At 48.9% G+C, this 12,475-nt stretch overlaps 1 annotated feature.

Moving 5' to 3' along the window:
• Window positions 214–784: an enhancer, noted in NCBI's record as "OCT4-NANOG hESC enhancer chr15:68799611-68800181 (GRCh37/hg19 assembly coordinates)". NCBI's record gives its function as "activates a minimal SCP1, AML or CMV promoter by ChIP-STARR-seq in naive and primed H9 embryonic stem cells {active_cell/tissue: H9 hESC(naive and primed)}" and the evidence as "EXISTENCE:reporter gene assay evidence [ECO:0000049][PMID:30033119]".

Below are 12,475 nucleotides of genomic sequence, written 5' to 3'. Positions count from 1 at the left end.
CACCACCATGCCCGGCTAATTATTTTGTATTTTTAGTAGAGATGGGGTTTTACCATGTTAGCCAGGATGGTCTCGATCTCCTGACCTCGTGATCCGCCCGCCTCGTGCTCCCAAAATGCTGGGATTACAGGCATGAACCACCGTGCCCGGCCTCTTAGCTTCTATCTTCTTACCTTTTTTAGGGGCACTGTAGTAGTCAGGGTTCTTTAGAGAAACAACCAATATATCTATATATCTCACACCATTATGGCTCACACCATTACGAAGGCTGCAGAGTCCCATAATCTGCTATTTGCAAGCTGGTGCTGTTAATTCCAGTCCAAATCAGAAGGCCTGAAAACCAGGAAGGCCAATGGTGTAGGTTCCAGCCCAGTGGCTCAGCTCCAAGTCTCAGCTTGAACAGGCAGGCAGAGAGAGATAATTCAACCTCTCTCCACCTTTTTGTTCCACTCAAGCCCTCAACAGGTTGAACAATGTAGACATTGAGGAGGGCCATCTGCTTTACTCAGCCCAACAATTCAAATGCTAATCTCTTCCAGAAACACCCTTACAGACACACCCCCAAATAACATCTAACCAGGTATCTGGTGCTATGGTTTGTACGTGTCCCCCAAAAGTTCGTAAGTTGGAAATTTAATCCCTCTGCTCTCATGAATGAATTAATGGGTTAATGGGAGCTGTACCTTGTGAATGGATTAATGTTGCTGTCACAGGAGTGGGTTTGTTATTGGGAGTGGCTTTCTTATCAAAGTGAGCTCTCTCTGGCTCCCTGGCACTTGACCTCTTGCCATGTGATGCCCTCTGCCATGTTATGATGCAGCAGGAAGGCCCTCACCAGATGCCTGTGCCATGCTCTTGGACCTTCCAGCCTCCAGAAATTCTTTTCTTATGTATTCAGATGTCAATTGAGAAAAAATGACAAGACAAGTTTCAATCATTTTAGGAGGTTTATTTGCCAAAGTTAAGGACACGTGCCCAGGAGACAGGTCTATGCCTTTCTCTGAAGATGATTTTGAGGGCTCCAAATTTAAAGGGGAAAGGGCAGGGTATTGAGAAGTCAACAATTTTCATGTAAGAGCAGGTAGGGAAAAATAGTCATTCATGCCTTTGTCTGGCTCAGTGAATCCACATTTTTTTTTTGACTGACAATAACATAGACAAATGGGGCAGAGGAAAAATGCAGGGAATCTGCATTTTTACATAAGATAACATGGACAAAATAGGGCAGGAGAACAATCAGACATGCATTTGTTTCTGGTGGGTGGAGCGGGGGTGACTGCACCTGTAAAGGTAAGCTACCAATTTTCATTGCCATAGTGAAATTTTAACAGAAAAACTTTAGGATAAAGATCTTGAAGCTTACTAGGAATTTCCTTATGGGCAAACTATGGGGGAGACATGTAGCTTTTCATCTTGTAGCCATCTTATTTAGGAACAAGAAAAGGGGAGGCTGGTTTGCGTGACCCAGTTCCCAGCTTAACTTTTCCCTTTGGCTTAATGAGTTTCCTTTCACACAGGTTTTCTGTTATAGCAACAGAAAAGAGACTGAAACATCTGGGCATCCCATGGCCCAGTCAAGTTGACACATAAAATTAAGCATCACTGGCTCCAAGGGGCAGAACTTGCTGAGCAGCCTGGCAAGAGGAGAAGCAGTAGATGCCCTGTCATGGGAGTCAGAGTGTAAATGGGGATGCTGTCCACACCTGGAGAATCAGGGCTGAGGCTGGGCTGCATATGCTTGGGGACTAAGCCTAGGGCCCCCTGGTGCCTCCAGGCTGGATGCCTACTTTACAGGAATTGGATCAGGCCCTGAGACCTCTAGGGGGTGGAAAAGGCCTCAGAGAGCCTGGCTTGGGGATTCTGGAACTCTGAGGTGATGGTGTGGGCGTGGGCATCGGAAGGCAGACAGCCAGTGCACACAGGAGCTGGAAGACAGGTCTTAGGGCCTATAAATGTTGTTATCCCAAAGAGAGGTATCTGGCTGTCCAGAACTTTCAAATCTTTTGATGAAAACTAACCTGTTCATGCTTCAAGAATTTGCTGGCTGGCTCTGCAGCAGCCTACTCCTGCTTCTTCCCTGAGGATGGAGTTTCCTACAGAACCAGGCTAGGTGTGGGCAGCTGAGGATGAACAGGAGGGGTGGTGAGCTGCTGTTCAAGGAAGGTGAACTAGATTGGGGTTCGGCGCAGCCTCCATGGCCTGGACTGGCTCCAGAGCTCAGAGTGAACGTTAACATCTACCTGGCAAAGACAAAGAAAAATCCCTACTGGCAATTTACAGAAACATAAAATTCAGTGGAGCAAAATGAAGAGGAAAGGTGCATGAAGGCGGTAGGTCAGATGGGAACTGGAGCCTGCATAGCAGCAAAGATGGTGGGCAGTGTCCTGAAAGCCACTGGCTGTGTATTTCTCTGAGCCTTTGTTTCCACTGTTCCTTTCACTCTTATGTCCTCGTTGCCTCTCTCTGACCAAATCCTTCCTTCTTTCAAGGCTCTGCTTAAAAGCTACCCCATTCTGTAAGGAGCCCTATCTTATTCCCTAGACCCTCCTATGGGTGCACTCTGAATGGGTCACTGTACAAGCAAATAGACACAGCCCAGCTCGGTGAAGCTGGACATGGCCATCTCCACCAAGGACTCTCCAGTGCAAGTCCACATTACTCTAAGATCTACAGGTTCTGTTTTTCTAATCCCTAAACACCCCCACCCTCCACCTGCTCAGAGCAGAAGCACCCTCTTCACCCTGTCCCTGTAGAGCTCAAGGAGCTCTGCAGTCAGGCTATGAACATCTAAGTTTCTGGGGTGTGTATCCAGTCTAATGGAAATATGACACTACCATTCACAGTTCTAACTTCTCTGAATCATACCCTTCCCCTGCCCCCTTTTTTGACCCCAAACCCCTCTGGGTCCCTGCAATAGCTATCCTCCAAGATGGCCCCAGTGGCCTGCCTTCTGATAGCCACACCTGCCGTGGTCTCCTCCCCCTCAGTGCCAGGGTTGCTCTGTGTGAACAACAGAAGATGGCAGACATGGAGGTGGAAGGCTTCTAAGATTCAGTTATATGAGACAGTACAGCTTCCTGCTCGGTATATCTCTCCCTCTCTGTCACTGCTCACTTCGGTGGAAGCCAGCTGCCATGTCTTGAGTAGCCCAGTGGAGCAGGATGGACTGAAGCCTCCTGCCGACAGAAGGTGAGACTGGAGGAGCTCCCCCGACAGCTGAGAAGCCCTGGGAGAACTGCAGCCCCGCAGACAGCCTGACCTCATGAGAGGCTCGGGGCAGAGCCACCAGCTGAGCCGCCCCCAGATTGCTGTCTCTCAGAAACTGTGGGAGATAATAAACATTCACTGTTTTAGGCTGCTGAGTTTTGGGGTGATTTTTATGCAGCAATAAAGAGTTAACACGGGGGATTCGGGCTTGTCAGGGAGCACATACTCAGCTGCTAGACAGGAGAGAAGGGGAGGAGGGGAGGAAGGAGAGATTTTACTTCCTGGGCTGGCGGTGTGACTGGATAGAAGAAGCCGCAGCTCTGGCTTTGTTCCCATGCAGTGGCAGCAGCCCTTGCAGATGTAGGGCCCTGGCTGAGTGTGTGGGGCACTTTCCTGGCCAGGGTCTAGCTTTGAGTCACCACTCCATGGTTAAGGAACCCCTCTTTGTCCCATGCTCAATACATCGCAGCTGCTACTATAACTGACTGTGCTATGCTCTTGGTTTTGGCCCCTCTGAGATTTCCTTTGGTAGGAGGGTGTCAGGTTTTTGTATGTTCTGGAAGGTCCAGCTGTTCAGGGCAGGCTGGACATGCATTGCTAGAGTCCACTGCAGGGGTGAGTCTGCCATGAGGCAGGTGTTCATTGCACAGGGCACTGCAGGGTTGGCCGGGGCAGTAAGTCAGTGGCCGTCTTCCAAGTGAGACCAATGGGTCAGGGAAGAAAGAAGCCATGGCCTGGTCAGTGGACTCATCTGTGTCCAGGCTCACCAGGCCCCTGAGCTCTGCAGGGCAGCTAGTTCCAGTCCTTGCCTGGTGAGAGGGGGGATCCTAGAGGACCTAGAACCAGCCCGTGTTATGAGTGAAGGAGTCTGCAGCACTGCGGCCAAGCAAAGAGGGGACTGATAGCCACAGGATCTGGCCCTGTGGACAGGCCTATTCATGGCAGGGCCAGTTGCCCAGTCTTCCTCCATGCTGGTCTGAGAAGACATTTCCAACCGTGGCACTGTGTGGCAGCAGTAAAGACCCTTTCAGTCGCCAGTGGAAGGAGCCCAGCTCAAAGTTGATAGTAGATATTGAGGAAGACCAACATGCTTAGTGTTTGCGTTTGCTTTAGGTACATGAGCTCACTTAATCTTCACAACAGCCTAGAGGCAGGCATTCTTACTTCCATTTCACAGATGAGAAAGAGGAGGTAGAGGGTGGGCTCATCTCAGATCTCACTGCTGGCAAGTAGTAGAGCAAGAGTTGGCCAAGGCAAGCTGGCTCCACAACCCATGTCCTTGATCCCCAGAGGGAGGAAAATCCAGGTCGAGAGCTCTCTTCGAGGAAGGCTGCATCCAGAGGCTCAAAAAATACCCCCAGTGTCCACTTCTCTCGCCACCCCTCACCAGCCCTCGGCGTGGCTTCAGTCTCTGCCAGGCCTCTCCATGTGGTGGCCACCAGCCGCTCAAGGCCTACAGTACCCCACTGTGTAAAGGAAGGTCCCAGAAGTCAGTCTCGCTGGGCTCCTGGGGTCACATGCTCACCTACCAGCCACCTCTACAGCCCATGGCCCCTGATGCTTTAAAGGGCCAGGATTGGGTCACAGGCTTCACCTGGGAGCCAGGTCTGGCATCAGAACCTGAGAATCTTGTAACCTGGGTGAACGGGTGCCACACAGGCAAACAGAACACGTGTGCCTGAAACAATGTCACTTACTCCCAGTGTTTTTTAAAGGCAGGGGGTGGGTGAGGGGATCTAACACCACCATTAAATAATGTTCTAGAAGCACACACACCCCATTGTGCCTCCAGCCTAACATGGTAGCTCTTTTTACTCTTGGTCTTTCCTCTGGGCCTTGTCTGCCCGCACACATCTTTTGAGGTAGTTAGAAATGACAGTACAATTCACCGGCCTCAGGAGAGAGCTTGAGAAGTGATAGTTAGCCTGGGGATGGCAGCTGATTCCTTTCATAAAAGACATAAAGGAATCTTCTCACTCTGGGCCTCTCAGGCTACCCTATTGCTGCATGTTGAGTGTTTGGGGTTTGTTTTCTAGTGTTGGGATTCTGTCCTTATGGCTTGGGGATAATGAGGGAAGGTTGTTTCTGCAGTGCTGGGATGAGTGAGGCCGGGAGGTGCTGGGTGGCAGTGCTACCTGGACCTTTCCCCCACCCCATGCCAGCGTCCTGGGCAAGGGTGGCCCTTACCTGAGAGCTTGCAATGTGAGACCCTGCCGGGCACTTGCCTGGGATCAGCTCTCAATGCCTGGGCTGCAAGCTGCTGGCTGAGACCGTTCTGAAGCCAAGTGTTACGGCAGAAATAGAAAGCACGGTGCCCTTTCTATCCACCAAGCGCTGTGCAAAGCCTTCTGCCACGCTGTTTCACTGAGTTCTCGTGCCGATGCTGTGATGTGGGGATGTACTGTTATTACGTCTGTCTCACACAAGGAAACTTGAGCTCAGAGAGTTAACTAACCCCATCAAAGTTACAGAGTTAGGGAAGGTACAGCCCTGATTCCATCCCCAGCAGTCAGAGCCCACGTCCACAGCCACTTTGAGACAGGGAGCAGAGGTGAAAGGGCACGGGCTGCCCAGAGTTAAATCCAAGCTTTGCTACTGGTTGGCTCTGAGCTGGTTACTCAACGTCTTTGTGCCTTAGCTTCCTCATGGGTAAAATGGGGGTAACTTCGGTACCACTTCATAGGGTTATTATGAGGGTACCTGAATTAATGCCCATAAAATACTTAGACTCTGGCCAGGGACATAGTAAGTGCTCAGTAAATGCTAGCTGTTAGTATGCAGTGTTGCAAAACTTGAAAGGGAGTGAGTCTTCACCAAGGGGGCTGAGTGCCCTGTTCTAACAGGTGGCACAGGTGGGAGCACAGGAAGGAGAGACAGACCCAGAGATAAGTGGGTGGGAAGACAGACATGTAGGGTGAAATCTAAAGCAAGGCAGACCATGATTTTTTCTGATAAACCTATCAAATAGGTCATCAGAGACAAACAAGGAAGTTGCTCAATTCTCGGCAGAGATCTGGAAGGGCTTCAAGGAAGAGGCAACTTTTGACTTGGACTTTGATAGAACCATGGAGGTAGATGAGGTGGAGACATTGGAAACACAGGCAAAGAGGTAAGTAAGGCCGATGGGGGTGTTAGATCTTGGCATGTGGTCAGAGGAGGGCCAGTGCTGGGATAAGAGAAGGGAGGAGAGAGAGATGGGAGGGAATAGGGGAGGAACTCTGAATGTCCAGCAGAGACCCCCCCAGGATCTTAGAAGTGTTTGCTCAGAGGGGTGGGCTGCCTGGTAGCAGAACAGGGTGTTTATGATGAAGCCCTTCAGCCTGGACCAGGCTTACCACCAACCCCATCTCTGGGAACTCAGGGCCCATGGGCTTCAGAGGTCCGTCCACTGCCACCTGGGTGGGCTGTGCTGCTTGGCACAGGATCACTGGCATCCACCGCCACGCAGCACCCAGGAGGGAAAGCAATCACTCCACTCAGACTTCATCCCTCTACCAGGACCCTTCCCTGAACAAAGCCAGCATTTACAGTTTGGCCATGCTGGGGTAGGGTTATTCGGGCTGTTTATGACTTGGGATAGAGCATTTTCCTGGAGAGCAGAAGTCCCTTTCTGTCCTGTTTGAAAGCTATTCGGACCTTTGGAAAGAGTCTGGGTGATGGCATTTTGCCCTTAAAAATACAGTGAAGGCTAGAAACTGGAAAGAATTCTGATGAAGTCATTCCTCCTTCCCAAGAGCCGATTAGGCCCTGATGCCACTCCCAGGTTTCAGAAATTTGGGAAGCCCTCAGAGAGTGGCAATTTCAAGTCAGGAGCAGCTGCCGTCCAGCATAGGGACCCATGGCATCACAGCAGCAGGCCAGCCTGCTGGGAGCAGGGAAGAGAGCTCCAGGCCCTCACCATGTGTGCCTGGGCGTCCCTCTCCTCTCTGGCCCAGATGCTTCCACAGAGGAAGAAGATGAGGCCGATGAACTGCTGAGCTCTCAGGCCCTCCCTGTGGCCTTCTTCTGAAACCCCTTCAGGCCAGCATGGGAGGGGATGGGGAGAATTTCCAGCTGTGTCCACTCCCGTTACTAGGAGCCATGGCAGGTCCTTTGGCTCAGAGACTCATCTCATGTCCCTGTGGGCTGCCCAAAAATCCAAAGGCATGGGGAAGATAGGTGACCTCTAGTACCCCTGGTCCTCACCAGAGCATGCCCCCAAGCTCTCCTTACCTCCTCCTGCGCTGTGTGATTTGAGGGGCTCCAGAAAACCTTTTCGTTTCCAAATTTATCCTCCAAACCCTGCATGGGCCTGCCCTGGGGGCCAAGGATTTCCACAGTCAGACTCACAACTCGGGGTCGAGGGTCGGTGTCTCCAGAAGGCTCCTCCTCCAAGTAGGCATCCAGTGCCAGGAAAGAGCAGAGGTGGATTTAGGGCAGGGGACTGGGTGAAGGAGGAGAGCCTGGGAGGATCTGGCAAACTCAGGAAGGAGAAGAGGTTTGGAGAAGCTTTTTGAACAGAGTTTAAAATCTGGCAGGATGCGGGGAAGTGAAGAACAGAGTGGAAACAAGCAAGGAAGGGAAGATACAGAAAATTGAGGGAGACAGAGGAAAGGAGAAGCAGAGGGGCTGAGAACCAGGAGGCAGGAGGCTGGAAAGAGGGAGGTGAGAAGAAGGGAGTGGGAAGGAATGGAAGGGAGTATGGGGGGAAGGGGGAGAGGAGAAGGCAGAAAGGGCAGCTCCAGGACCTTGGCCTGCCCACTCTCCTAGGTGCAACCATGGTAGGTCCTGGGGTACAACCTCACAGGAGGCTTCTCCCCTGAGGTTCTGGGCCAGAGACTTTCCTCACCTACTCTTTGATCTGGGCCTGCTGGGAACTTTTTATCTCCCTCGTCTACCCACCAGTTTATTACCTGCAATCAGCCTCTCTTTCCCTTGGGAGGGAAAGGTGATGCTCGGCTCCTACCCTAGGAGAGGACACTGATTAGTCTAAGCCAGTCTTGGTCATTCCTTCCCCTTTGCCAGCGATGGGTTTAATCTGGGCATGTGATGCAGCTCTAGCCAATGAGTCATAAGGGGAAGGGGACTAGCTCCTGGAAAAGTTTCCCATAAATATAAAGAGACACACGGCAGGAAACACCCTGCTTCGTCTCTGAACTCATCCTGCCTGCATGAATCCCTTGGAATTGCTGCATGCATCCTGCCACTTGCTCATGGTGCCACTGAGCCCTGAGTTCACTAACCCTTGGGACTGGACTGCTTGTGTGTGATGTCACATATTTCCCTCATGTTTTAGGTATATATTACTTGCAGCCAAAAGCATCCTAAAAATATAAATTTTTAATGAAAGTATTAAAAGGCTTTCAAGAAGGCTGAGCAATAGGGACAGACTGATCCAGGTACACGATGGATATTTACATGGGGAGGCAAATTTGGTCTCTCTCTGTTGCCCAGGCTGGAGTGCAGTGGTGCGATCACGGCTCTCTGCAGCCTCAACCGCCTGGGCTCAAGCACTCTTTCTGCCTCAGCTTCCCAAATAGCTGGTACTACAGGTGCGCACCACTATGCCTGGCTAATTTTTTGTACTTTTTGTAGAGACGGGATTTCACCGTGTTGCCCAGGCTGGTCTTGAACTCCTTGGCTCAACTGATCTGCCTGCCTTAGCCTCCCAAAGTGTTGAGATTACCAGTGTTAGCCACTGCACCTGGCCTCAGGAAGGCAAATATGTGATTTCTGGAGAATGTTAATGGACCATTTAATGGACGAACATTAAACTTGGAACAAACAGAGCTAAGATCTAGACCTGAACCTCCCATCAACTCACTGTATAGCCTTGGATAAGTCAAATATTATCTGAGTGTCCCCACCTGTGAAGTGCAGAGAATGACACACCCTTCATAAGAAAGGCATGGGGTGGTCTGGTGCAGTGGCTCACGCCTGTAATCCCAGCACTTTGGGAGGCCGAGGCAGACGGGTCACTTGAGGTCAGGAGTTCGAGACCAGCCTGGACAACATGGCAAAACCCCGTCTCTACTAAAAATACAAAAATTAGCCGGATGTGGTGGTGGGCCTGTAATCCCAGCTACTTGGAAGGCTGAGGCAGGAGAATTGCTTGAACCTGGAAGGCTGATGTTGCAGTGAGCCAAGATCGCGCCACTGCACTCCAGCCTGGGCGATAGAGTGAGACTGTCTCAAAAAAAAAAAAAAAAGGAAAGGCATGGGGTGTAAGGCAGGTATTATTACTGCTGATATTAATATTCTCTTTCCTTTGTAGAGCTGACAAATCATTTAGTTGTCTAATCTATAAAGACCATGTTGAGATGGGAATTACTGCCCTCATTTCAAAGAAGAGGACATGGAGGCCCAGACCACCTTAGGATTTTGCCCAAGGTCACAGCTCTTGAGTTGCAGAGCTGGGATCTGTAGCTAACATCAGATCCAGGGTTCTGTCTACTCTGACCTGGGAGGGCCTGAGTGGCATTCATGCACCATTTGGAGTGAGTTAGCTTCAGGCTCTGTCCAACTGACGGTTAGAGCTGAAAACCAGGCTCTAGAAAAGAGGTCAAGATTGGGGAAGGGGCAGGAGCTTGAAAGGCCTGGAAAGTTGGCTCCACTGAAGGATAACCTAAGGAAAGCAGGCAGGTGAGCTGGCTCAGGTGCTATGCCGTGTGAACACCCATGGGCCACTGCATTCAGGGTTGGGGACTGGTACCTTCAGGTGTCTAGTGTTGAGAAAAGAGTATTGGCTGAGGCCTTGGGAAACCAGAGTTCAATTCCCAGCTCTGCCCTTTCTAGCTGTGTGAGAGTGGGCAAGTTCCTTAACCTCTCTGAGCCTCAGTTTACCCACCTGTAAAATGGAAGCAATAATTCTTGCCCATCCCATGTTGATATTACACAGGTCGAATGAAGTGCTTTATGAATTGTAAAGCTTTAGAGAAATCTAAGCAATTGCTTGAAGGGGGAAAGGACATCAAGAAAGAAGAGCCATCTATGTTGGCAGACAAGGCACAAGCCCCCTGGTATGATGGGATTTGGGTCCTGCTTTGGGGTCATCAGGACTTATCCTAGCTCCAGGACAAATAGTTTGCCTGGAAAACGCTGACAAAGAGCCAGAGCTCACTGAAGGGCAGCTGATTAAAAATCAACCTGGTGAGGCTCTGCCACCGTTAATGAGGTGTGATCCTGAAAGTGCAAGGCCTGGGTGGATTCTGCAAAGAGCCTGTTGGCTTTGATCCCCCTTCTCCTATAAAATGTTATGTCTGCTCTTGGCCCCTCAAATTCCTAGACGGACGAATCAGTCTGGGCTGCCTGTGGAATTTGCAAAGAATGAATTTTCAAAAAAACACACTTGGGAACAATAGTTACCAGAAGTGTCTGGGTCTCAGAGGAAAAACAAACACCTTAACCCCAGTCTGCAAGTGTTTCCCAAACATCCTTCTACCTAATGCCTTCCCCCATGCTGACACCTAACATGAAGCATGTCATTTAATGAGGAGCTAGTTTACCCTGTGCTTCTGAGCCACGAAAAATAAAACACCACCAGACACAGCAGCTGTGTTGGAGCAGATTCCCCACATCCCCTTCCCTAGGGAATGAATGGCCCCAGTAGCAGCTGGGCACAGACCTCAGGGTCTGCTGTTTGGGAGAGACAGCAGTTAACTTGTCTTTTACCTACTTTTACATTTTTAATTTTAATTTTAATTTTGATTTTAATTAAAGCAATGAATGTGCTTAGTTTTAAAAAGCCAAACAGGGCCAGGTGCAGTGGCTCACACCTGTAATCCCAGCACTTTGGGAAGCCAAGGCAGGAGGATCACCTGAGGTCAGGAGTTCAAGACCAGCCTGGCTAACATGGTGAAACCCCATCTCTATTAAAAATAGCTGGGCGTGGTGGTGCATGCTTATAGTTCCAGCTACTTGGAAGGCACAGGCAAGAGAATTGTTTGAACCTGGGAGGCAGAGGTTGTAGTGAGCTGAGATCATGCCAGTGCACTCCAGCCTGGGCGACAGAGTGATACTTCGTCTCAAATAAATAAATGAGTAAATCAGTCAAATAGTACCATAAAATTTTTAATAAAAACAGCAGTCTCTGTATTCACCTCTCCCCATCCCCAATAGGCAATCATTTTTAACACCTTTTGGAGTATTTCACCGCATATTTCTATATAACAAGCTTATAATTCTGACCCTTGATTTTTCCTCTTTTCCTTTCATTAATTTTTAATTGACAAGTAAAAATTATGTATATTTATAGTATACAACATGACATTTTGTATGTGTATACATTGTGGAATGGCTAAATCAAGCTCTTTAATATATGCATTATCTCACATGCTCATTTTTGTGGTGAGAACACTTAAAAACCCACTCTCAGCACTTTTCAAGTATACAATATGCTGTTATTAGTTACAGTCACCATGATGTACCACAAACCTCTTAAATTTATTTCTCCAGTCTAATTGAAATTTTGTGTTCTTTGACCAACATGACCCCAATCTCCTCAACTCCCAGCCCTTGTTAACCATAATTTCAATCTGTTTCTATGAGTTTGACTTTTTTAGATTTCATATATAAGTGAGATCATATCTTTCTGTGCACGGGTGGTTTCTCTTAACATAATGCCCCCCCAGATTCATTCATATTGTTGCAAACATCAGGATTTCCTTCCTTTTCATGGCTGAATAGTATTCCATTGTGTATATACACCATGTTTTCTTCATCTATTCATCCATTGATGGATACAAGTTGATTCCATTGAAGGAAACAAAAATATTCCTTTCTGGAACACTGGCGATTGTCGAGCTGAAGAAGATTAAAACACAGGGGGATACTCTGCCCCTCCCTCTGCTTGCCTAATGGTGATTTATAGGAACAGGTCTTCCTGCCATCCTCCTTGCCTTTTCCTGCCTAATGAGGGGCTTCTTTCCAATGCTTGCTTATCAACTTAGAGACAGCAGTGCCAGAAGATCTAGGTGCAGACTTTACTCTTCCCATAAATTTACCTTCCCACATTTTGCTGCCTTGTGGAAGCCTGAGGCTGCTCTCTTCTTTATCTTGTCACTATAGAATTTATGAGTGTTTTAAAAAATACTGTTTAAGCAAGGCCCCTAAACCACAGCCTTGAGAGAGAAATATTCCCTCTCCCCTGTGATGGGTACAGCACACACCAATACATTTTTGCTGGTTTTTCTCTTGCTAATCTGAATTTTGTTTATAGGAGAGCATCTCAGATAAGAAGCTATGAGGGAAAGAAAAGAAATTATATTTTCTCCCCTACATTCTATCTTGG

The sequence above is a fragment of the Homo sapiens genome, chromosome 15, assembly GCF_000001405.40.
Source record: "Homo sapiens chromosome 15, GRCh38.p14 Primary Assembly".
NCBI classification, from domain to species: domain Eukaryota; kingdom Metazoa; phylum Chordata; class Mammalia; order Primates; family Hominidae; genus Homo; species Homo sapiens.
Note: the sequence above shows the minus strand (reverse complement) of the source record. Positions and strands in the feature narration are given on the sequence as shown.